This window comes from Homo sapiens, chromosome 6 (genome assembly GCF_000001405.40).
Source record: "Homo sapiens chromosome 6, GRCh38.p14 Primary Assembly".
NCBI classification, from domain to species: Eukaryota; Metazoa; Chordata; class Mammalia; order Primates; family Hominidae; genus Homo; species Homo sapiens.
Genome location: NC_000006.12, coordinates 47,605,355 through 47,632,880, shown reverse-complemented (window position 1 = coordinate 47,632,880; position 27,526 = coordinate 47,605,355). Strand labels below are relative to the sequence as shown.

General features: G+C 36.1%; 1 protein-coding gene across 3 annotated transcripts in view, besides 1 other annotated feature; it reads right to left on the bottom strand.

Annotated features, from left to right (window-relative positions):
* The window catches only part of CD2AP (CD2 associated protein), a 149,475-nt gene continuing 127,566 nt past the window's right edge, over window positions 5,618-27,526 (bottom strand). For all 3 annotated transcript variants that reach the window (NM_012120.3, XM_005248976.2, XM_011514449.3), the window contains 5 exons: window positions 26,604-26,716; window positions 24,853-24,954; window positions 23,577-23,758; window positions 20,345-20,408; window positions 5,618-8,695 (listed from right to left, as the gene is read on the bottom strand). In NM_012120.3, the coding sequence (NP_036252.1) occupies window positions 8,654-8,695; window positions 20,345-20,408; window positions 23,577-23,758; window positions 24,853-24,954; window positions 26,604-26,716 (503 nt within the window). In that variant the 3' untranslated portion in view covers window positions 5,618-8,653. The remainder of the gene's footprint in view (window positions 8,696-20,344; window positions 20,409-23,576; window positions 23,759-24,852; window positions 24,955-26,603; window positions 26,717-27,526) is intronic.
* Window positions 10,365-11,564: an enhancer, noted in NCBI's record as "MED14-independent group 3 enhancer chr6:47589053-47590252 (GRCh37/hg19 assembly coordinates)". NCBI's record gives its function as "activates an origin of replication core promoter dependent on BRD2, BRD4, P300/CBP and CDK7 cofactors, and independent of MED14, by STARR-seq in HCT116 cells {active_cell/tissue: HCT116}" and the evidence as "EXISTENCE:reporter gene assay evidence [ECO:0000049][PMID:35650434]".

Sequence of the window (27,526 nt, the reverse complement as noted above, 5' to 3'; positions counted from 1 at the left end):
TCAGATCAAGATAAACAAACATAAAGGCATTTTTGCATTACACATACATTCACAAATTCAATAGACTAAAACGAATATACATTATTTTATTTCATTCTCTACTTCTCCCTCTCTCTCCATGGAACTGGTGATAATCTTGGTGAGACTAAGGAAACGGTCCCTGAATACTTTTATGTATACTATGTTGTTTTTCTCATACTCCAGGATTTTTATCACTATTAAGAATCATAATCACTAGTTTTGTCACTTGTTCAAAATACTGTCTAAGCCCTGGGTCAAGACTTACTGATATCCATGAAAGGTTTTGCTTTTCCCTAAAGCATACTGCAGATGGCTGGCTATTTTGTCAGTGGAAAGATCTGTGTGATGTTGTCTTGCTCTGTCCTCCTATATAGCATGTTTCACTTCTGAAGTCTTTCAGGTGACCACGTTCCTTCTGGGGTAGGACTATTCTCTGCTTCTGTGACCCTACAGTCACATCATCACCACAATATGGACATTTTAACCCCATTTTGGAGAGAAAAGTCATTTCCTGCTTAGAATTTGGGCAGAAAATGGATTCACTTTTTCAGGCATGGTCGTGGCACCATAGACTCTCTCCACTGACCACTGGCTCTGGACTGTACTGGCAGACTCCAACTCTATATGAATTATACTAGACTTCACATAGGAAAAAGACAGAAGTGGCAAAACCAGAGATGCCCTACCAGAAACTCCTTAAGAAGCCTGGAGCACAAAGCTCACTACAAAACTATTATATGAGCTGGTTACATAAGCAACCATAAATGGGATTTGCTTTCTCTTTGGCCTGGTTGTGGTAGGAGCACATTGCAGGACAAAATGGAGGAACGGGAGGTGCCACCAGAGAATCAAGGACAGGAAGTGGCAAATAACACATGTGAGAAAAGGTTCAGGACTCACTGCAGCAACCTGGGGTCAAAGGAGCCCTCAAGGCGTCAACATCCAACAGAAATGACAAACAAGAGCAAGATGGTTTTGTTGCTGCTGTCTGACTTGTTCTCCCAGAACTCAGGGCCTCCTTTCTCCCTCTTCCCTGAGTAAACGGCAAGAAGGAAAGGGTTTAAATTCTGGCAAAACAAAGTTTTTATGTCTCTTTAGATAAGGAAAGGGATAAGACTTGAGTGATTTGCCAAGTTCACACAGCTACTCATTTTTAGAGCCAGTTTTCAGAGCGAGATCAGTTCGATTCCAAGGCCCCAACTCTTTTTACCCTATCATGTGGCACTTAGCTTGGGGAAGTAATCAGGCTAGGGAAGTAGGGTTGGTTGTGTCCCAGTTCTGGGTGAAGGTTGGAGCCCTCTCTGATTTTATTTGCAGCTGCTACCTGTTTATGGTTTCAAGACACATATAAGCTGAGCTTTATTTGACTGCCATCTAGTGGTCATTTAATTTTGTTTTTTTCCTTTTTTCTTTTTTTTTGAAAGACAGGGCCTCATTTTCTTGCCCAGGCTGGAGTGCAGTGGCGCGATCTGCAGCCTCAACCTCCTGGGCTCAAGCGATCCTCCCGCCTCAGCCTCCCAAGTAGCTGAGACTATAGATGCACACCAACACACCCAGTTAGTTTTTGTTTTTGTTTTGTTTTTAGTAGAAACAAGGTCTCCTTATATTGCCCAGACTGGGCTCTAAGCTCAAGCAATCCTCCCACCTCAGCCTCCCAAAGTACTGAGATTTCAGGCATGAGCCACCGTGCCTGGCCCATTTAATTTCTTTATGGAAGCTACGTAAGGTTGTTTATTGTGTTTTTGCTGAAAAGCCATGAAAACCATTTAAGTTTGCAAAGATGTACACTAAGAAATGAAGAACGTTTCCCAAAATCTTGTGTGACCACATCACAGAGAAATCTAAAAACTATGAGATCCCTGAAAATAGACTTTACATTTAGTCTCTTACTGGTGGAAAAATGTTGACAGACTTAATATAAAGGATCACAAAGAGTGAAAGAAGTAAGACTAGACTAGAAGAAATTAATATTCCCCAGGCAGGCTCCTTCTTTCCTATATATTATCTATGTAGAGAGGCAATAAAGCTTATGAGCAAAAGCACAGGCTTCAAAACTCGGTTTCTTGGGCTGAGTTCAGCTCCAGGCCTTATTAGCTCAGTGGCCTTGGCCAAGTTGCTTAACCTTCCTTAGCCTCTTTCCCGTGTGTGGAGTATAATACCTCCTAGCACGCAGGATTGTTGAGATGATTAGATAGGATAGACAGGTAAATTAGATAGCAATTACTTGGAATAGCACTTGGTATGTGGTAAGCACAATATAAACATTAGCTATGTTTGACGCGATGCCTACTTTTAAAGGTAAGTTTACTATAAAATGTAGGGTAAACTGACCATCTAAAGTCCAGTATATAAAATTTGTTAAATACATTTTAAGAGCCTAATGCAGTCCCTGGAAGAATGTCTGTTTTATAGCAATCGGCATGATAGTGGTTAGTCTTGAGGAGATATTATACTTGAATATTTGAGGAAGGAAGAAAAGGTAGGAGACGGTAAAGACAAGGGGTAGAGAGAATACCTCCCCTTTTGTCACTTATTCATCCACTAAACATTTACTGATTGTCTACTACATGCTAAAGACCATACTAGGTCATTTTAGGTCAGTGGTTCTCAAAGTGTGGTCCACAAGGTCAAAACAACTTTCATGATAATACGAAGATGCTAGTTGCTTTTCTCATTGTGTTGAGATTTGCACTGCTAGTGTAAACGCAGTGGTGACGGTGACTAGAACTGCTAGGCACGCATCAAGACAGTGGTACCATTTTGTTACTGTGTTCTTCACCACCATACCCAGTACAGGAAACCCCTTCCTTTTATCAAAGTGAACATTTTATTTTTCTCTTATAATTTCATATCATGCATTGAGATTGATAAATTTCCTGATATGAAATCTCTCCCTGTGAGATTTGGTTTATGATGATCAGGTTTAAAGTTATGCTGGATTCATAAAATAAATTGGGTGGCTTTCCATCTTTTTCTACAGTTTGAGTAGCTTAAAGACCAATTAAAACACAGCCATCATCTGGCCTTGCTGTCTTTCTCAGTTGTAGAGCCTTAAATACGTTTCAAATTCACTTACGGTGTGTTTAGTCAATTAAAAATTTCAACTTCTTCTTTGAGTCAGTATTCATTCTTTAAAGTTCCATAACTTAACAGATGTCTTGGTGTTACATATCATGCCATTTTTTTCCTCCTGGGACATAAAGGATTTTAATCAAGGTTTTCTTCTGGACAACTTTTTTTTTGTTATATAAAACACAGGTATCCATAAAGATACTTGTGTCTGATTACTCACGTTTCCATGGTGTCAGTTATTTGATGAATAGCACAGCAAGGAAGAAGAGCTATAAATTGTTAGCCAAAATATTCTCTCATTACATCTGTCTTCCCTAAGAGCATGTCTCCTTCTCCTTGGTTTTCAGACTTCCAATTATTAGGGCTTACAGTTAGTGAGGCTTCTCTTTCAGCTCCACATTCCCCAGCTATCCTTCTGTACAGGATTTGAGCCTACAATGATCAGATGAGCCTTTCAGAGAAATCTGCATCTGGCACAAAGTCTGGGAAAGTTTATATCAGATTTCAGGTTGCTCCCTCCAAAACATTTGGAAGGTATTTTTACTATTATAAATTGTAGCTTCCTTATTTCATCTGAAAAGCAATGTTTTTATCTTAAATCTGCTTTTTAATCTATTAATATCAAATCTTTTTCATTGTACTTACTGTTTTTAATGAGTCTCAAGGGAGGAAAAGACAGTAAAAATGTCATCACTCCGTCACATCGTTTACATTCTGTTCAGTTAATGTTTAGGAATATCTCTAAAAATCCACTCTACCATGAAAAGTTAACATGTGATTTTATTAAAGAATTGTTACTCATTGGGCATGGTGGCTAATGCCTGTAATCCAAGCACTCTGGGAGGCCGAGGGGAGCAGCGCGGATTGCTTTAACTCAGGAGTTCAAGACCAGCCCAGGCAACATGGTGAAACCCAGTATCAAAAACAAAACAAACAAAAAAAAATTAGGTGGGTGTGGTGGCATGCACCTGTAGTCCCAACTACTCAAGAGGCTGATGCAGGAGGATTGCTGGAGCCCAGGAGGCAGAGGTTGTAGTTAGCTGAGGTCGCACCACGGCACTCTAGCCAGGGTAATAGAGAAGGACCCTGACTGGAATAAAAAAAAAAAAAAGTTTCTCAATGCACTTAAAATGTAGTTTTACTTTCAATAACTTTATTCACACACTTTTAAAGGGAACTGAAATGTAGTCAGTAAGAAACACTTGGAACCTGATAGGAAATAATACCATCCAATAGTTGCAAAATAGCCACACCTTTCATGACAGAAAAAAACTATTGACTCTATACAAAAAATACTGATATCTATTTGTGAATTTATTTTCCTTACATGGAAGAGCAGATTCACAAAAATGGTGTCAGTGGTAAAATAAATGCAACAGGATTCAGAAAAAAAAATTTTAACACCCAGACCCAGTCTCTCTTGCATCTTGAGAATACAGCCTAATAAATCCAGGTGAGTTAAACTGCTACCTGCTTTTATTTCCTAGAACTGGGCTAAATTTGCAAATTGTATTTTCAGACAAAACCATCTGCACTCTTCAAACACAAATTCTATAGTCCAAAACTTTTACCATTATATGCCTCCAAAGTTTTTTGTCTAGTGCTTCTAAAAGCCAGTAAGAACTAGAAATTTTTTAAATAAGATTTTAAAAATCTTATGACACACTAATTTTCCACATTGCTTTATAGTGGTGTCCTATTCCTTCTGTTTCAAATCTTCCAGCACACTACTAGAATCTCTAAAGCTATATGTGATCTATGTTCAGCAAAAGTATGTGGACCTTAATGTTCTCCTGATTTCATCTTGTTTTCTGTTATTTATCAGGACTTTTTCGGTTGTGAGTTCAGAAACCCAACAAGCTTATGAGCAAGTCTGTGCTTATAGAACCAAGCAATAGACAGCTGAGACTCAGCAACAGCTACAATCAGTTTCAAAGTCCTTCCAGATTCTGTTTCCATCTATCTATGCTCTACTAAATTTTGTTTTTCAAATCAGCTTTTTCCAGATGACAGAAAAACAGAACTGTGGAGAGCTCCCATGCTGAGATTAGCTCTTTTTGTTTCCAATTTTAAAAATTTCATTCTTTGATTAACTCAGTAACTCAGTTTGAGCCAAGTACTCTCTCAAGGGATTTCCTGGGTGGGGTGATCAAGGAGGTAGAATCTGTAAGATGGTAGCAGCTCCCCTTTGAACAATATAATACAAATGAAAGGAGCATCTCCCCAAAGAAAAGGATACTATACCGTATTCAGGGGGAAAGGATACACAATGCCTCCTTTTTCTTAACCTTATCCATCTAATTTTTATCATATCCATCACTGTAAAATGCTTTTTAAAAAGGTAAAACAGCAGCCTCCATTTTTTTTTTAAAAAAAACCTACTCTATGCCAAGCACTCTACAAAGCCATTTAGATAAACTATTTCAAATTCTCCCCATAATCCTGTAAAGTAGAAATTACTGTCTCAGTTTCAGATGAAAAACCAGACTCAGAAAAGTTCAGTAAAAGTCATACGGGTCTAGAATTTTTAATGTTTTTGGTTTACTATTTATTCTTGTATTTGGAAATTGAAGTAATATAATTTTCATCATACTCTGAAATACACAAATGCTAAAGTTAACAAAAAATAACCAATAAAGACTGACACGACTGGCAATAAAATCCTTTAATTTTTCTTTTTGAGAGAGAAGCATGCTTTTAAATACAGCACCTGTAAACAAGTTAGTGAAGTATATACTATTTTGAGATTCCCCCTCTCAATTTTTTTTTTGGAATGTTAGGTTACAACATCAACTGCATTACGTAACAGTTATTGAAAGCAAGTCAGGGTAAAATTTTATAGCCAAAAATATTCATAGCAGCAACTTTTAAAATATGATTTTATTAAATCAAGTCATTGCACTTGGTCATTTTATTGCTACAGCAAAACAAGGCCTTTACATTATAATACTTCTCATTTCTGATTTAACTGATTGTCTCATTCTGCTCATACATTTCAAGTTTAAATGCAAGCATAAAATGTTTATCAACAAATCTAGAGAGCACTTGGATTTTTAATTTTTCTGTGATCACAGTAAGGAGCATAAAAAAGAGTATCTTCTGTTACACAAGGCCTGTTCTCTCTTTACATCTTCAGACTTAAATTCTGTAGAAGGTAACAGCTTTGTATTAAGACAGAAGCTTAGTGGTCACAAACAAAAAATAACACTGAAATACAATTCAGAAATTAATGATACTGTGTGTCTCAAAGAATACCTGAACTATACATTCACTAATAATTTGGCAATGAGATTCCATGCTGTTCAACTTTTGTCTTTTATACTCACACGTAGAAAAAAAATTCATGATTTACCCCAAGGTTATTATTAAATATCATTTTGTGATATGAACTTTAGTAATAGAAATTAATAACATTTCCCATACCAACAGAAAGTAAGTTGCTAGAATAAAGGAATCATTTTTCCCATCAGGCCTGGGTTTGTTTGGTTTTCTTTACTATTTTATCAAGGACAGAAAGGTAAAAGTATTTCAGTTACTTTTCTATTCTGACTGAGGAGGACACAAGCAAAAACTTTAAATACATTTCCATGCTCATAAGCATCTTGATTTCATGTACTATTGAGAAAATGACCAACAAAAACTTTAAGAACAGCCTGAAATCTGCTGGAAACTTCCCTCATCCCATTATTAGGATGACCAGGGATCACTTCAATAGATTTTCAGGTGAGAAAGCTGGAGGATAATTTCTAGGATTACAATATTTTTGTTTTACCTAAGGTTGGTCATTAAAAGAAAGTAAGATTTAATTTATTTAACAAGAAGAAAATAATTCATTTGACTAGTCATTTAAACCTATTCTATTTAACAGAAGAGGGAACAATTTTGTTCAGTAGTGACCTCATTAGAAGAGCCCATTTTGAAGAGTTCTAATGTATATTCTCAATATATAATTAGCATTCCCCCAAACCCCTAATGTAAGTTGTAAATTAAACATTATGTTGTTTACTGGCATTTCTATTTTCTACTTCAGTTCTCTTTATTTGAAACATGACAAAATTTCATTTACATAAGATTTCTATATTATAAGATTAAAATTTAAAGGAAAAATATTGGTTTGGTGGTTTAAAACTAAAAAAAATGGAAGCATGATCATTGGTACTCAAAAATCTGACACTCATTTGCGATATAATAAAGCATAAAACAATTTTTTGCAAATAAAAAATTTCAAATTTTAAAAATTTAAATAAACCCACTTGTGTTTTAGATGTTACCTACAGACAGAACATTTTAAAGCATTCAACTGTTCATAAGTAACTCTGAAGAAACAACTAATTCATCCATTCTGTGAAAATGTATTTTAAATATGTTCAACTATATTTGGTTTTAAATAAGCTGTAATGTTATATTTTATGACATACTAACATTCTTTATAAAGTTTGTACCTAAATAATAGTTCAAAATATCTCCATGAGTTAGTTTGGTCTATTAGGTAAATTATACATCGTAAAACCTGAGTATTTACAAGTTAACTTGTCAAAATAGGAAACCTCACACTGAAGTTCTGAAAAGCTTTGGGTTTTGTTTTCCTATTACCATTATTAAAAGTCAGAAGGAGAAACATGAAGAACTAAGTGACAAGATAATGAGAAATATTTGAGGCTGTAAAATAAGCAGAAAAGTACAGCAACAGGCTGGTGTTTACATATTTTATATGTGCTGTAGTTTCTAGGCACAAGTTAAGGGTTAAATTAACAGTTTTAGATTCTTCAGACCTAACAAATTTAAAATACAGTTCATATTTCCCCAAATGTTTAACAATCCAACATATTTTAACTAAGTTCCTTTTATGACTCCTATAGTGCAAGCAACATAAAATATTCTAAAAGTTGATGAAATTATTTTGATTATTCATTAGTTCTTACTATATGCATGGGTGAGTAATCTGGTTTATATAGCTAGGAAACTCCTATTTCATCACCCAAAATATAAACAGCATTGCAGACAAACAGGCACAACAGTGTAACCTTCGGTAAGAGGATAAAAGTAAAAATATATATATATATATACACACACACACACACACACACACACACACACACACACACACAGAGTTTATATCCCTTATGCATTATGGAAAAAGTAGTGACTATAGTTACTAAAAGGCTAATCTGTCCCTCTCAAATAGTATATCTTAACAGATTACTTGTAAATATATCACCATATTTATAGTATAGATCTCTTTAAAAATAATACAAGTTTCAATAAAAAAACTACTGTGCACATTCTTATTTATATTCAGTAGTATTTTCAAGCAAACAATTTTTTAAAAAGTGTTTGCAATCCCAGCACAGTTAAGAAATAAGGCCTCTTTTTCTTCATATTGGCAAAACAAAATATATATATAAATTCACCCTCACTCTACTTTTCTATAGATATTACACTTCATTTGCTCATATTTATCACAACAACAGAATTCACAATTTTTAAGTAACAAGTCAGCTGAAGTTCATAGCGTTGCTTCTGAATCCCTGGAACATTATGAACACCAGGTCCACACCACTCAAGAAGACAGGACAGCTTTTTTCAGCTTCTCTATTTCCATCTAAAACAAAAAACATAAATTGAGCAAACATAAAATATCCTTAGTTTAGTAGTTTATTTTACTCTATGTCATTAAGATGTGATCATACTTTCAAGCCTTCAGACTTTTTTTCCAGACCTAAAATCCAGTTTCCCATGCTATAATTTGGTTGAATAAAGTTTCAACAGTACAATGCAAGTTCCTAAATGGCAGTTACAATAAGAAAAAAGCAATTATAGCCCTTTCAGCCAGAACAAATGTTAAGTCATGTGAGCATTTAAAATTAAAGCTGTAAAAAAATCAGTCAGTCCTACAAAGAACAAAAGAATCCTTGAAACCAAATTAAGAAATGTACATGTATCTATAATTAAACAAAGGATACATAAACAACAGTAAAAAGAATAGAGACCTGTTTAGTTCCATGTTTTTCACTAATTATACTTAATTATAATTATAATTATTGTTAAATCACTTGACTTGGTTTCAATTTACTTATCTGTAACCAGTATATACTACATTAAATATCTTAAAGCCCAGGAATATATCTAAGATTCAGTCAAGGTGCTTGATATAGTTCCACCTTTAGGCAGAAGGAAATTCATAACTTAAGGAATTTATGAAGAAGGAGATCATTTCATTAAGTTTGCACAATAACTACACAGAGTTATTCAATACTGCCATATTCAAATGGCTAGGTTGAGGCTCAAAGACATTAAACAGGATGCCAATGTTCCACACTAACAAGTGACACAGGACTTGTCATGGTAAGATTTAGGGCTTTAAAGCCCATGGTTTTTATATTGATTTCTCTTCTCAATTCTATAACATTTTGATCATCTTTAACCTTTCCCTGCATGAGGAAATATATAGGCCTTGCCTTATCCTGATGGCATCACCTTCCTCAAGAGTGCACATAAACAATACATGCTTTGGCTAGCTTCGACAAACAGCACATTATTAAACGATTAGGACTTTGCCATAGTCAAAAAGTATAATTTTTATATGTTCACAATCTCCTAAAGGATTATAACTACTCAAGAACCGTTTATTAATTTCAGGATCTTCCTTGATATGATTCTGTAAATATTATGATGATTAGCTCAATGTTTTAGCAGCACTGGACTACAACAAGCCTGTCTTCAATTTGGATTGAGACGATAGCTTTCATTGTCAGCCCGATCTGTTATTAAAGTCTTTATTCCAAAGATACAGAAAGCGGTAAGAAAAACAAATTGGTAGAAGAGGGAGTAGGGAGTGTGAAGGCTACTACTGCATGCATAATCAGCAATACTTCTTGTAAACTGCTATTTGTGACATACATTTAGTTATCACTGGACAGGGATCATCATGGCGGACAGGAGGCAAGACTAGATTGCGGCTCCAGACAGAACAGCATGCGGAGACTCGCATTGTGTATTTTAACTCCAGACCGACTGCAAGAACAAACCAGCAATCCCGAGAGGACCGACAGACCCTCTGAAGAAAGCGGACTGCTCTTGCAGGACCTGGGAAACACCCCAAATAGTGTGTGTGTCCCAACTGCGGAAGTGAGAAAGGGAGACCCTCCTCTCCCGAACACACACCCCGCACTGGAGAAACTGAAGGTCTGTTTGCAGAAGTTTCCAACTTCACCTGGATCTGACTCAATTTAGAGAGCCAAGCAAAATACAAGGGGGGTAGAGGAAGCAGCTGAAAGGCCCTGGGAGCTTGCTGAGTCCCCAAGCAGGCCATTCCTGCCTGGCACCACAGGGATCCATAGGGAGGGCAGCCAGAGAAGCAGGGGGTAAAACTCCACAGGGAGAAGGAAATCTCTAGCTAAACTTTGTAACAATTTGAACGGGGCGAGAGACCTCCAGGCCACAACTCTGGGTAGGGCGGCAAATCTGGTTTGCAGACTCCACAGGCGAGGGAAGAACCAAGCCCTTTTCTTTCGCAGCTAGAAGGCAGGTAGCCTGGGGCAAGTTTTCAAGCCCATCTCGCCCACTGTCTGGAAACAGGGCTGTTGGGGGAGGCACGGTGGGATTAAGACTGCTCCTTCAGTTTGCGTGGGAGCTGGGTGAGGCCTGTGACTGCCAGCTTTCCCCTACTTCCCTGACAACCAGCATGATTCAGCATAGGCAGCCATATTCCTCCTAGCTACACAACTCCAGTGACCTGGCAATCTCACCTTCATCCCCAACAGCAGCCACAGCAAGACCCGCCCAAGAAGAGCGTGAGCTCAGACATGCCTAGCCCTGCCCCAACCTGATGGCCCTTCCCTACCCACCCTAGTAGTGGAAGACTAAGGGCATATAATCTTGGGAGTTCTACGGCCCCGCCCACTGCTGGTCCCTTGAATGACACAAAAGATCATTCAAGGGTACTATGAACATCATTATGCACATAAACTAGAAAACCTAGAAGAGATGGATGAATTTCTGGAAAAATACAACCCTCCTAGATTAAATCAGGAAGAATTAGAGATCCTGAACAGGCCAATAAGAAGCAGCAAATTTGAAATGATAATTAAAAAATTACCAACAAAAAAAAGCCCAGGACCAGATGGATTCACAGCAGAATTCTACCAGACATTCAAAGAAGAATGGGTACCAATCCTTTCGACACTATTCCACAAGATAGAGAAAGAAGGAACCCTCCCTAATTCATTCTATGAAGCCAGCATCACCCTGATACCAAAACCAGAAAAGATCGTAACCAAAAACGAAAACTACAGACCAGTATCTTTGATGAACACAGATGTTAAAATCCTTAACAAAATACTAGCTAACCAAATCTGACAACATATCAAAAAGATAATCCACCATGATCAAGTGGGTTTCATACCAGGGATGCAGGGATGGTTTAACATACACAAGTCAATAAATGTGATATACCACATAAACAGAATTAAAAACAAAAATCACATATCATCTCAATAGATGCAGAAAAAACATTCGACAACATCCAGCATCCCTTTATGATTAAAACTCTCAGCAAAACTGGCATACAAGGGATATACCTCAATGTAATAAAAGCTATCTATGACAAACCCACAGCCAACATAATACAGAATGGGGAAAAGTTGAAAGCATTCCCTCTGAGAACTGAAACAGGACAAGGATGTCTGCTCTCACCACTCCTCTTCAACATAGTACTGGAAGTCCTAGCCAGAGCAATTAGAGCAGAGAAATAAATAAAGGGCATCCAAATCAATAAAGAGGAAGTCAAACTGTCACTGTTTGCTGACGATACAATCATTTACCTTGAAAACCCTCAAGACTCCTTCAGAAAGCTCCTAGAACTGATAAAACAATTCAGCGAAGTTTCGGGTATAAGAGCTACACAAATCAGTAGCTCTTCTATACACCAACAACAACCAAGCAGAGAATCAAATCAAGAACTCAACCCCTTTTACAGTATCTGCAAAAAAATAAAATAAAATACTTAGGAATACACCTAACCAAGGAGTCAGAAGACCTCTACAAGGAAAACTACAAAACACTGCTGAAAGAAATCACAGACAGCACAAATGAAAACACATCCCACGCTCGTGGATGGGTAGAATCAATATTGTGAAAATGACCATACTGTCAAAAGCCATGTACAAATTCAAGGCAATTCCCATCAAAATACCACCATCATTCTTCACAGAATTGGAAAAAACAATTCTAAAATTCATTAGGAATCAAAAAAAGAGCCCGCATAGCCAAAGCAAGACTAAGGAAAAAGAACAAATCTGGAGGCATCACACTACCTGATTTCAAACTATACTATAAGGCCACAGTCACCAAAACAGCATGGTACTGGTATAAATATAGGCACATAGATCAATGGAACAGAGAACTCAGAAATAAACCCAAATACTTACAGCCAACTGATCCTCGACAAAGCAAACAAAAACATAAAGGACACCCCTTTCAACAAATGGTGCTGGGATAATTGGCTAGCCGCATGTAGGAGAATGAAACTGGATCCTCGTCTTTCACCTTATACCAAAATCAACTCAAGATGGATTAAGGACTTAAACCTAAGACCTGAAACTATAAAAATTCTTGAAGATAACAACAGAAAAACCCTTCTAGTTATTGGCACAGGCAAGGATTTCATGAACAAAAACCCAAAAGCAAATGCAATAAAAACAAAGATAAATAGCTGAGACCTAATTAAAGAGCTTTTGCATGGCAAATGGAACAGTCAACAGAGTAAACAGACAACCCACAGAGTGGGAAAAAATCTTCAGAATCTATACATCTGACAAAGGACTAATATCCAGAATCTACAACAAACCCTAACAAATCAGTAAGAAAAAACAATCGCATCAAAAAGTGGGCTAAGTTCATGAATAGACAATCCTCAAAAGAAGATGTGCAAATGGCCAACAGACATATGAAGAAATGCTCAACATCACTAATGATCGGGGAAATGTAAATCAAAACCACAATCCGATACCACCTTACTCCTGCAAGAATGGCCATAATCAAAAAATCAAAAAACAGTAGATGTTGGCATGGATGAGGTGATCAGGGAACACTTCTACACTGCTGGTGGGAACGTAAACTAGTACAGCCCACTACAGAAAACAGTGCAGAGATTCCTTTAAGAACTAAAAGTAGAACCACCATTTGATCCAGCAATCCCACTACTGGGTATCTACCCAGAGGAAAAGAAGTCATTATTCGAAAAAGATACTTGCACACACATGTTTACAGCAGCAAGACTCACAACAGCAAAATCATGGAACCAACCCAAGTGCCCATCAATCAACAACTGGATAAAGAAACTGTGATGTATATGATGGAATACTACTTAGCCATAAAAAGGAATGAATTAACAGCATCTGCAGTGACCTGCATGAAATTGGAGACTATTATTCTAATGAAGTAACTCAGGAATGGAAAATCAAACATTGTATGTTCTCATGGACATGTGGGAGCTAAGCTATGAGGAAGCAAAGGCATAAGAATGATAGAACAGACTTTGGGGACTTGAGTTGAAGAGTGGGAAGGGGGCGAGGGATGAAAGACTACGAACGTGGTGCAGTATATACTGCTCAGGTGATGGGTGCACTAAAATCTCACAAATCACCACTAAAGAACTTACTCATGTAACCAAATACCACCTCTACCCCAATAATGTATGGAAAAAAATTAGTTATCAGGCAAATACATTGCTAGAGTTTCTCTTTTAGCACTTGTATGTTCATTGTTCATTTTTAGTGAACATTATAATACTGTATAATGTTAACATTATAGTAAAGTACTACTTTTAATCTTTGGAGAAACATCTTTCTCCTTTAAATAAATTATTCTAAAACTTTAGTGCCTTAGGTGTGCTTTTACAAATACAGGGTAAAACTGTGCCCACAACAAAAGAAAAAATATATTTGTAATACAAGTCAGTGAGAGGCCAAGTAACAGCTCACTTTGCTAGAAAAATAAAATCATACTGAATTATCCAAAAGAGAAACAATTTGACTCTTGTCATAATTTTTATGGCAAATTAAGTCAGATATACAAATTTAACACTATTAAGTTCCTCTTATGTCTCATTATCTTATTTTCACATATGAATATAAACATGTATGTATAAAATGTAAGAAAAAAGTCAAAAAACGCTTAAAAATTTCTCAATTTCTACATTACATGCTGCGAATTTAAGATATATTTTTAACATGTACACTTTCATTAATTTGTCAATAATTTATTAGATATCTAATATGTATATAGCATTGTGTTAGGAGCTATGAGCAAAGATAAAAAAAAACATGGATCCTACCCAAACAACCTTACAGTCTCAAAGACAGGTAGAATAAGTACATACCCTAACAGTGAAAATATAGGAAGTTATTATATATACATCTCTTATAAAACTACAAGTCTTGCAAATTTGGAAGACTACTCGTTTTTTTTTGAGACAGTCTCGTTCTGTCACCCAGGCTGGAGTGCAGTGGCATGATATCGGCTCACAGCAACCTCTGCCTCCTGGGTTCAAGTGATTCTCATGCCCCAGCCTCTCTAGTAGCTGGGATTACAGGTGTGTACCACCATGCCCAGCTAATTTTTATATTTTTTAGTAGAGACAAGGTTTTGCCATGTTGGCCAGGCTGGTCTTGAACTCCTGACCTCAGGTGATCCACCCACCTTGACCTTCCAAAGTGCTGGGATTACAGGTGTGAGCCACCGTGCCCGGCCACTAAATTACTTTTAATCAGAGACAGACTAGTATCAATTTAATGAAGGTAATTGTTTGAGCAGGGCCTTGAGAATCTGTAGAACGTGGGCATTAGAAGATGAGGCAAAAGGACAATCCAAGAAAACACAGTAAGAATAAAAATTCGGACTTATCAATTGTAAGAGGCACAATGGAGAATCAGCAAGTAAAGAAAGATAGCTAGGACCAAATTATAAAAACACCTCATATAGTAAGTTGTTGGAACTTTATTCAGCATGTAATGGAAAGCTCTTGAAAGTACTCCATGAAGGAAAGGTTAATCTGAGATAAGAATTAGAGTACTCAAGAAAGCTAAGCAGAAGATAGTAAGCATCAGAACAAGACAGATACAGTGGGGATAAAGACATAAAGATTAGGAGGTAAAGCTAATAGGACTAGAAGTGAATGGAACTAGAAGAGAACTATGTACAAGGTACCATGTCTATATGACTATATGGGCAACAGAAATTATCAACAGCAACAGGAAATCAAAAGAACAGGAAAGGAAGATGATAAATTTAACTGGGGACATGCTAAATCTAAGTTCATGATGAAACATCCAAGGGGGACTAATAGCCAGAAACACAGGATACAAGCTGGGAAAATACGAATTTGATTTAGAGGGGAGAGGCACTAGAGCTAATCATTAGATTCATGAGTATAGATGAATTCAAAATGTGAATGCTCAAACAGAAAAGCCAAGGATACCAGTGAAGGAATATTTACATTTAGGTTACAAGGAAGGAAGAGGAAGGCCAGGCATGGTGGCTCATACCTTTAATCCTACCACTTTGGGAGGCCAAAGTGGGAGGATCACTTGAGGCCAGGAGTTCAAGATCAACCTGGGCAACATGGTGAGAACCAGTCCCTACAAAAAACTGAAAAATTAACCAGGCATGAAAGTGCATGCCTGTAGTCTCAGCTACTTGGGAGGCTGAGGCGGGATCACTTGATCCCAGGAGTTTGAGGTTGCAGTGAGCTATGATTGTGTCACTGTACTCTAGCCTGGGTGACAGAGTGACTCCCTGTCTCTAAAAACAAAATTAAAAAAGTAAAAAAAGAAGGAAGAGGAGATGGAGAAGTTAGAGACAATAGGATGTAGTATCATCTAAACCAAGACAAACCTTTGACAGGGTGGCAATGGTAAAAAATGTGATCTGTTGCAGGCACTGAAGAAGAGACCTTGAATTTGGCATCAGTAAACCTAACCTAAGATGCAAGGGGTTACAGACTGAATTGAAGGTGAAAAATCAGAGACCACAAAAGTAGACTTTTTTTAAGAGGATGGCAGTTGTTTTCATATTTCACAAATGAACCTCAAGTGAAAAGAGAAAGTAACTGCAGTACATCAAGAAGGCAGCTAGACCTAAATGGGGGCTATTCTTTGATTCTGAATAATGGAAAAAGTCAAGTATTTTCATGCAAAGTAGTGAAGTTGCCAATAGAGGATAATGTTGGAAACAAGGATAAAATAAAGTCTGATAATTTACAAAGTACTTTCACATAAATTATCTCAACTAAAGCTAAAGGAGGTTAAGTGACTTGCCTAAGTTCACACAGTATAATTTAGTACCGAAGTGCAAAGGTTCTGAAGATTGGTTGCTTCTGTTAAAAACATCTTTAAGGCCAGGTGCAGTGGCTCATGCCTGTAATCCCAGTACTCTGGAGGGTCATGGCAGGTGGATCACCTGAGGTCAGGAGTTTGAGACCAGCCTGGCCAACATGGCAAAACCCCATCTCTGTTAAAAATACAAAAAAATTAGCTGGGTATGGTGGCACGTGCCTACAGTCCTAGCTACCCGGGAGGCTGAGGCAGGAGAACTGCCTGAACCTGGAAGGTGGTGGTTACAGTGAGCCAAGATCGCACCATTGCACTCCAGCCTGGGTAACAGAGCAAGACTTCATCTCAAAAAAAAAAAAAAAAAAAAAAAAAAAGGCCAGGCGCAGTGGCTCATGCCTGCAATTCCAGCACTTTGGGAGGCTGAGGCGGGCGAATCACAAGGTCAGGAGTTCAAGACCACCCTGGCTAACACAGTGAAACCCCGTCTCTACTAAAAATACAAAAATAAAACTAGCCGGGTGTGGTGGCGGGCGCCTGTAGTCCTAGCTACTCTGGAGACCGAGGTGGGAGAACGGAGTGAACTCAGGAGGTGGAGCTTGCAGTCAGCCGAGTTCGTACCACTGCTAATAAATAAATAAATAAATAAATAAATAAATAAATAAATTAAATTAAATTAAAATTAAAATTAAAATTAAATTTCAGCTCCATTGCTGTTACTTAATCATTGATACGATTTGCATCTGTGTCCCCACCAAATCTCAGATTAAAAGTAATCCCCAGTGTTGGAGGTGGGGCCAGGTGAGAGGTATTTGGATCATGGGGTGTTTAGATGATCCATGTTTGGATCATCCCCTTCATGATGAGTAAGTTCACACAAGATCTGGTTGTTTAAAACTGCGTGGCCCCTCCCACTCTCTCTCTTACTCCCTCTCTCGCCACATGAACTGTGTGCTCCTACTTCCCCTTTCACCATGAGTAAAAGCTCCCTGAGGCCTCCCCAGAAGCTGAGCAGATGCAGGAACCATGCTTCCTCCTATACAGCCTGTAGAACCATGAGCCAATTAAATTTTTCTTTATAAATTATCCAGTCTCAGGTATTTCTTTATAGCAATGCAAGAGTAGCCTAATACTATCATTCCAAACCCTACTTTTTTCAATCTTATAATAGGAACAATAATCCTTACATGTTGTTATGTGTGTCTAATGAGATAATGTGCAAAAAATGCTAAGCCTAACTAATACACAGTTTAAAACAAAAAAGTTAGTTGATTCTCAGGATAAGAGCCAAGGTTTTCCAACTGCAAGTCCCCAATTCTCTCTTGTTCTACAAACTGCTGACAAAAGAAATAGGGTAAGTAATCAGGCAGAATAAAAAACAGAAGGGAGTATGAAATACTTAAACAATGGGAAGAGTCTCTAAAAAAGGTAGGATACAACTTTCTCTGAGATATGCAGAAAGAATAATGCAAATGAACATAAACATTAGTGAAGGAGAAAAAGAAAGCTAAGAAAGATAAAGGAAATAGTCGAAATTGCCAATCACCAGTGGAGAATTAAGATAAACTCTTAAGTTTAAATGGGAGGCAGTGAATCTACAGCCATATGTCACCACTACCAGTCCTGTCCCTGAGCAAAGAAAGAATGAAAATAGCTTAACTGCACAGAAGAGAGAACTACAGGGATACCTCTTTTTATTGTACTTCGTTTTGCTGTGCTTCACAGATACTGCATTGTCTACAATCAAAGGCTTGTGGTAATCCTGTGCTGAGCAACTCTATTGATGCCATTTTTCCAACAATATGTGATCACTTTGTATCACTGTGTCACATTTTGACAATTTTCACAATATTTCAAATGTTTTCACTGTAATTATATATGTTAATGGTGATTTGTGACCAGTGATCTTTGATGTTAATATTGTAATTGTTCTGGCACCCATATAAAACAGCAAACTTAATTGATAAATGTCATGTGTGTTCTAACTGCTACACTGATCAGCCTTTCTTCTGACTCTCTCCCCCTCTACTTGGCCTTCCTTATTATCTGAGATAGAACACGCCTAATAATAAAATTAGGCCAATTAATAACCCAAAAATGGTCTCTAAGTGTTCAAGTGAAAGAAATAATCACATCCCTCTCACATTAAATAAAAAGTTACAAATGACTAAGCTCAGAGAGGAAGGCAATGTTGAAAGCCACAGCAGGTCAAGAGATTGGCCTTTTGCCCCAAACAGCCAAGTTTTGATTGCAAAGGAAAAGTTCTTGAAGAAAATTAAAAGTGCTACTGCAGTGAACATATGAATAATAAGAAAACTTAACAGCCTTATTGTTGATATGAAGGAAAGTTTGAGTGGTCTAGATAGCAGATCTAACCAACTGTAACATTTCCTTAAGCCAAAGCCTAATCCAGAGTGAGGCCCTAACTCTCTTCAATTCTTTGAAGGCCCAACAGAGGTGACGAAGCAGCAGAGGAAAAGTATGAAGGTAGCAGAGGCTGGTTCATGTGGTTTAAGAAGCCATCTCCATGACATAAAAGTGGAAGGTAAAGCAAGTGCTAATGTAGAAGCTGCAGCAAGTTATCCAGAAGATCTAGCTAAGACGGGAGTTGGCTACAGGAAACAAATTTTCAAAGGAGGTAAAACAGCCTTCTATTGAAAGAAGATATCATCTAGGACTTCCATAACTAGAGAGAAGTCAATCCCTGGCTTCAAAGCTTCAAAGGACAGGCTGACTCTTGTTAGGTGAATGCAGCTGGTGGCTTTAATGGAAACCATCACTTATTTATCATTCTGAAAATCCTTGGCCCTTAAGAATTATGATAAATCTACTCTGCCTATGCTCTACAAATGGAACAACAAAGCCTGGATAACAGCACATCTGTTTACAGCATGATTTACTGAATATTTTAAGCCCACAGTGGAGACCTACTGCTCAGGAAAAAAAAAAAAGGATTATTTTTAAAATATGAACGCTCACTGACCATGCCCTTAGTCACCCAAGAACTCTGATGGAAATGAACAAGGAGATTAATGTTACTTTCAGGTCTGCTAACACAACATCCATTCTGTAGCCCATGAATCAAGGAGACATTTAGACTTTCAATTCTTATTATTTAAGATACACATTTTGGAAGGCTATAGCTGCCATAGATAGTGATTCCTCTGATAAATGTAGGCAAATAAACTGAAAACCATTTGGAAAAAATTCATCAGTTTAGATGCCATGAGGAACATTCACGATTCATAAGAGAAAGTCAAAATGTCAATATTTTGGAAGATGATTCCAACTCCCAGGGATGACTTTGAGGATTGAAGACTTCAGTGGAGAAAAGAACTGAAGATGTGGTAAAAACAGCAAGACAATGAGAATTAAAAGTGGATCGAACTTGAACAGATGAGGAGTTGCTTCTTTTGGATCAGCAAAGAAAGTAGCTTTGTGAGGTGGAATCTACTGTTGGTGAAGATCCTGTGAATATTGTGGAAATAACAAAGGATTTACAAAATATAAACTTAGTTGATAAAGCAGAGGCAGGGTTTAAGAGGACTGACTCCAATTTCAAAAGAATACCCTTGCCACTAATTAATTCCACTAATATCCGTCCCACCCTCTGGTATCCATCCTTCTGTTCTCTATCTCTATGAGTTCAATCGTTTCAATTTTTTTTAGCTCCCACAAATAAGTGGGAACATGCAGTTTCTCTTTCTGTGCCTGGCTTAACATAATGACCTCCAGTTCCATCCATGTTGTTGCAAATGACAGGATCTCATTCTTTTTTTGTGACTGAATAGTAGTCCATTGTGTGTATGTCCAACTGAAGTAGTATAGCATAATTTGTACAGGAACCGATTACCCAGTTGGGTTGGGAAAAACATGTCCAGTTTATGCTCACTAAACTCTCAATGCTGGAAGAAATTAATTACCTCTAGATTACTTCTCATTGTCTTCTCTTCTTCCAAATCTTTTCGCAGTTTTTCCAGTTCTTTCCTAAAAACAAAGTACTTATTACTGTTAAGTCTTTCGATTAAATAATTTATTTGACTAATGTTTACAGGCTTTTTGTTACCTAACCTACCAGTTCATGGGAAAAACTTTTTAAGGGCAATAGCAATGTTAATTAAGAAAAATGTAAGATTCTCTAGTTAGAATGGTTCAATATAACAGTTAAAAATTCAGCAAAACCAAGACAAATCTGAGATCAAGAAATCAAGCAAATTCAGAGCAGCTCACGAAGACAGAAATAATATCTAACCTTTAGAAGAAATTTTCTATATTCGGCTATCATACATTTTCCAGGTTGGAAAACTGAAAGCCCAAGCAATTTGGTAAAATGAATATCAACACATCACAATACAAGGCAAGTTAACAGTTTATCTGGTAACATAACCTAGACTTTGAATTTCTTTCTCTATTTTTAAAAATTAAATAACACATTAAAATCCAAAAACCAAACAAATTAAAAACTCTAGCCAATAGTCTCTCCTCAACTCATCTTTTCACCTTCCCGTGTTCCCTTCTAATCTTTCTATATAGTTGTCCTTTTTTCTATAGCTTTAAGTGAATATTCAATATTATGTCTTTTCACAAATTTTAAACCATTTTCATGCTGCTAAAATTTTCATATTTATAATTGTGATTTGGTATTCAAATATCGAGGTTTTTTGTTTGGCTGATTCATTATTCTGGGGACAGAAGGAGTGGAAGGAATCGAGGAATGAGACAGAAGGAATGGGAGGAATATGTTAGTATATCAAATTTCTAAATCAAAAGTATGGACATTTTCAGTCTCAACAAATACTTGAAAAATTCTTGAGAATACTGTAGAAATAACAGCTTGAAAAAGTAAAAAAGAAAAAATTCATGAAGAAAAAATACATAAGGAAGGAATTTTAAAATTATTTATATAATGTTTCAAAACTAACTTCTTGGCAATAATTTCTTAGTGATAACTAAGCTATAAAGATCTACTATTATAAGAGTAAAGCGAAAACCTCTGAACTCCAAGTAAAGAAATAAAATATTACCAGTACCTTGGATATCCCAAAAAGCGACCCTCTTTCCTTAATCCTATTCCCCCCCTCTTCCATAGAAAAAGTTTTATAGTATTTATTATTATTTATTTGTTGTTCTAATTTTGCCACACGCAAATACATTCTTAAAATAATATATTTTCTGGTTTGGTATGCTTTTCAACTTTATACAAATGAAATACACTGATTGCGTGTATGCTTCTGACCTGCTCCCTCCTCTCAATGTTTAGATTAATTCATATTGATGTTGAAACTTACTTTTATTGTTGTATGCTGTGTAGTATTTCTCTATTAATATATCAATAGTATTTATCCCTTCTCCTGCTGATGCAAGTTTTTTAGATATTAAAAAAAAAAAAACCTGCCATTCAGTTTCACTTTGCCAGAGAAACTCAAGATATTGAAAATACCCTTTGGAAAGACTTCCAAAATGTTTTATATTCAAAAAAAAAAAAAAATACATATATATATATATATATAAATCAGAAATATTTTATCCGTTCTAGAGCTAATTTAAGAGCACCTACAGGCAATATGCATATGAAAATCAGGACATGGTATAAAAAATGTAAAACAACAAAATCGAATCAGGAGAATTCTCTAACTGGTACATGGGTGGTGATTAATAAATATTTACTGGACAAGTAAACTTACAGCTTATAATGTGCATGTTGCAGAATCTACTAAAAGAATCTTTCAAAACAGATAAACTGAAGGATTCCAAGAAATACCATCATGTATTAAATTATAAACTCCTCTATATACATAATATATAAAACATATTTTTAAGTAGTCATTCAAGATACATTTTTTATTTCTAAGGAATACCTGTGAAAGTGTTCTGCAAACTCCAAATACCTTATACTGTTAATCTCAATATTATTTTTAATAAGATTCTTAGGCCAACTTAAAATTGGAAAAGAAATGATAAAATCAGGCTCAGAGGGAACATGGCCTCTGGCCATAACATTTATGTTTTATTTTTATTTTTTGTTCTTTTATACTTTTTATTTGGCCATAACTTTTGTACCATATTCCAAGAAATCTTTTTAGAAGGGAATTTGAAGACAAGGGATGAGCACCCTCACTCTCATTTCAATTAGATTAACTGCTTTTTTTAAAATATATTTTACCTACTGGGCTTTTGTAGAATTGTGCTTAAAATGTGAACAAGTTTTAAAATTCAAATACTAGTGGTTATAGAAAACATCTCTAAACCAACAGATAATATGGGTTTGAGTTCTAGCTCTGTCAATTTCTTCATTTAAAAAGCCAGAGGGGGAGCTCACCTATAATAGGTGATCTTGTAAATTTGTTTTAGCTCTAAAAAGTCCCTAACTTTCAACTAGGGTATCTCTCAACATATACCATATCAAAAAATTTTCAGAGTTAAGGGAAGAGTTTTAGAGATCACCTATCCCAACACATTCATTTTATAAATGTCCAACTCAACCTCACAGAAACAGTGATCAAATCCTCTGAAAACTAAGTTAACTATATGTATAGATACACAACCAGATCCAAAATACGATATTTTTCCTAGTAGTTTAAAAACTAATCATATCCGACCAGAAGATTTCTAGCCTAAAATTATGGTTATGTATGCACGTTTTCCACAATCCAGCTACTAGAATAACTTCACCAATTTAACTTTTTTGCCAAAAAGAGAAAAGGACTGTTAATGAAAATTTCTTTGAAAATATACTTGCTCATACCAGAGACTTTTTTTTGAGACAGGGTCTTGGTTTTGTTGCCCAGGCTGGAGCGCACTGGCATGTTCACGGCTCACTGCAGCCTTGACTTCCCAGGCTCAAGACATCCTCCCACCTCAGCCTCTTGAGTAGCTGGGACCACAGGGATGTGTCACCAAGCCTGGCTTTTTCTTTTCTTTTCTTTTCTTTTTTTTTTTTTTTTTTGCAAAGATGGGGTTTTGTCATGTCGTCCAGGCTGGTCTCGAACTCCTGGACTCAAGCAATCCTCCAAACTTGGTCTCCCAAAGTGCTGGGATTACAGGCGCGAACTACCACACCCAGCCACAGATTAGATTTTTACTTAATATGGTTTGAAAAAAATTCTTTATGCATGGGTTAAGTAGTACTCACAGGAGAAAAGAAGGGCTACTTACCCGTGATCCTTTTTCAGTGCTTCTACAATGCACAACAATTCAATAATCTGGGCTCTAAGTTCATCCAGGGAATTTTTTTTCACATCATCTGTTTCCACTTTAGCTTTGATTTCTAATGGAGTCAGGAAAGCAGTTGTATTTGCTTTAGAAGCACTGGAAGGTGTTGAAAGGTACACAGATGGCTGAAAACGTAAAAAAAAAATTTCTGATTTTATTTAATATTATATTTACGTTCGAAAGATTTTAACAGCAAGAAGAAAAACAATTAAGTACTTCAAGATAAGTGGCAAATTTGGAAATTCAAAAGCAATTTGATGTTCACAACTGGAAAAATCACCAGACAACTAAAGAATACATTTGTAATCATTAGTGGTTTTTGTAGAAAATGACAATTTTATTAACAGAAGAAAAAAGGAAGAAAGAAAAATCCATCAAATGTATATTATGGATGGTTTGCCTAGTGAAACAGGGGCAAGAATGTAACAGCATTATAAAGGTATTACTTTGATCTTTCATATTCAATACTTATTGTTTGGAATGTCCAAAGAGCTTCACTTAAAAGTAATTGTGAACAATTTAATAGGTCCAGGAAGAGTCACTAAAATGAGTCCATAGCCTGACACCCCTTAACTATTTCACTAAAAAAATAGAAAGTCACTTTAATAAAATTTCAATAGACTGCTGACAGCTGAGAGAATCAGATTAAGTGTATTTAATAAATTGGAAACGCTGACAAAAATGCCCTGAAATGAAATCAAGAAATAATTTGGGAGGAAACCTAAATGACCTTCTTAAATCTATGTCTCAGTTGTAGTGAAACTATGTTAAATAAAAATGGTAAAAATTTTGACAAGACACCTAACACATGTAACAGATGAAAGGATCCATGGACATACAGTATTCTGCCATTAATTCCAGTATATACTGAATGCTTAATTATTGTACTAAGCACCAAGCTAGGTAAGTACTATACAAGTGTTCATTCCTGACCTTAAGAATGTATGTTTAATGGAGAAACGAAATAGATGCAGAGATCTATGCCTTAAAAAATATGAAATATGTAATATTTATTTTATTCAATTAAAATGTAAGCTCTTTCAAAAACATTTGCAGAAAATAGTCTGATGAAGCTAAACAACTCAATTTTTTAGCAGCAATTATTTCATTTCTTGGCAGAAAAAATAATTCGTCCTAAAGAACACCTTAAATTCCCTATGTTTGATGTCCACAAAGAATCCCAGAAAGTCAACAAACCTTAGACCACAATGCACCTCACCTTTGGAGAGTAGCATGTATCTTTTTTTAATTCAGATGGCTTCAGGTTGGCACTGTCTTCTTCTTTTGGTAACTTCAAGATTTTTTCGGGGCTGTGAGTTGGCTAAATGATTTTTTAGAAGTCAAGAGACATAATAGACCAAAGAAAAGAAAAGGTAGTAAGTCTTTGGATAATAAAGCAAATAACTTTTATGGATTTTCAGCTGCTACTGTTGCTGATATCCCATTATTATTAATAGGATGCTATATACTTTCAAGCTGAATAACACATTTGCATATCTTGAGGGCAAAAACAGCTTGCCTCTTAGCAGTAAGGATTTTCTCCATTTAGGTAATTTTAAAAGTACTATAGTGTTTAAGAGCTAATACATTAACATTACAGTACCACCAGTACTCCAGGCAATGTAGAAAAAGCATACAAAGAAGTTAATACATTTAGACATGAGGACAAGTACTACAAAAACAATGAATATTTCACAACAATCATCAGAGAAATACAAATCAAAACTACGAGTTATTACCTCACCCCAATTAAAATGGTTTTTATCCAAAAGATAGGTAATAGCAAATACTGGCAAGGATATGGAGATAGGGAACCCTCGTACACTGTTGGGGGGAATGTAAATGAGTACAATCATTATGGAGAAAAATTTGGAAGTTCCTCAAAAAACTAAATATAGAGCTACCATCTGATCCAGCACTGCTAGGTATATACCAAAAAAAGGAAATCTGTATATCAAAGGGATATCTGCACTCCCATGTTTACTGTAGCACTATTCACAAGAATACAGCCAAGAATTGGAATCAACCTAAGTGTCCATCAACAGACAAATGGATAAAGAAAATGTGGTAACTATAGACAATGGACTACTATTCAGTCACAAAAAAGAATGAGATCCTGTCATTTGCAACATGGATGGAACTAGAGTTCATTATGTTAAGTGAACTAAACCTGGCACAGAAGAACAAACTTTGCATATTCTCACTATAAAAATTAAAACAACTGAACTAATGGAGATAGAGAACAGAAAGATGGTTATCAGAGGCTGGGAAGGGTGTTAGTGTGGTGGCGGTAGGGATGGGGGGATGGTTAATGAGTACAAAAAGTAGAAAGAATGAGTAAGACCTAGTATTTGGTAGCATCAGGGTAACTACTAGTCAAAAATAATTTAATTGTACACTTAAAAATAACTAAGAGTACAATTTAGATGGTTTGTAACACAAAAGATAAATTCATGACGTGATGGATACCGCATTTACCCTGATATAATTATTATGCATTTCATGCCTGTATCAAAATATCTCACATAACCCATAAATATACAAATCTATTATGTACCTGCTGAAGTTAATTTTAAAAATTTAGAAAAAAAGAAAAGAAAAAAAACACTGAATATTTCAGGGGAAAAAATTTTCTCAATCTTTCCTAAAGTGAGTATCTGCTGCTCAATTTTAATAACTGTTGTTGAAAGATAAATTAAACAGGTTCTTTCTTTGTCACCCTTTGACCCTGTGCTCTGTGGCTATAGCCTCATGATAATTTCCTTCTGATTCTGTAACCTTTCATTCCAGACCCTGTTGGAATGAACACACCTCTCTCCCTCTATCTCCTTAAATACCAGCATTTGCCACTTGAGTATAAGAGCTATCCTCCTGATTTTCAAACTTAGGTAGAGCTATAAGTCCTCTATCTTCCAATGGACTCTGCATTTGCTAAATATACTGTAGTTTACGACAATTAGATGAACTCACAGAATGTCCACCATTGAAACGGCCCGGCAACCTTCTTCCAGGCATCTTTGGTCTATTTGCAGTGAGATGAAGCAAGTTTTCTGAGGAAGCTATGTCATCAAAATTTACAACATCTAGAAAATAAAAATAAACATTATTTACTAAGAGAACTGTACCTTTTTAAAGGTAAAAAATAATGTTTCAGTTTTTGGACAAACTATAAATTAAAAAGAGTACCACTACTTTGAAGAACTCACAAATTGACCTGTGCTTTTCATATGCATTTGGAAAACAACACTCGCCCTTAAAAGAAAAAAAAAAATCCTCTTTACCTGATACATTTATATTAGTATATGACTTTATTAACACTATAAAGGTTGTTTCCAATAGAGACCTAGATCTCAACAAAAAGTACTTGGTGAAAAATAAATCTGTATCACAAACTGTAGTAGCATAAAAAACTCATCTTAAGTTCCTAACAAAGATCTACTTCTTAAACTCATAATAAATTAAAAGATCTCGGAAAATCAGCATGTAAAATTTGTTTTGAACTTCAAGAAGTAGAATATTCATATGTTAAGAATTAAACTTTATCTGGCACCCTGCCACTTTTGATTTGTGTTTCTCAATATAAAGCAAAAGCATGATTTAATGTACCTTTATGTGTATATATATGTGCACAGTATTAGGTGGGACTCAAACTGTTTATAGTTCACTGCACCTTTGTTTAGACATTATTGTGTTTAGTAATCATAAGACAGCTACAAATCTAAGGCAAATCAGATACCAAAAAAAAAAGAGAAAAAGCTACATGGATTACCAACTTACTTCCTCATCATCAAAGGCTGGCTGACCTCTGACCTGGTAACTTGGGTTTAAGGACAAATCTACTCTACAACAATGATATATAATACTTTGCCTTTTCCTAGATGATTCAGAAAGTC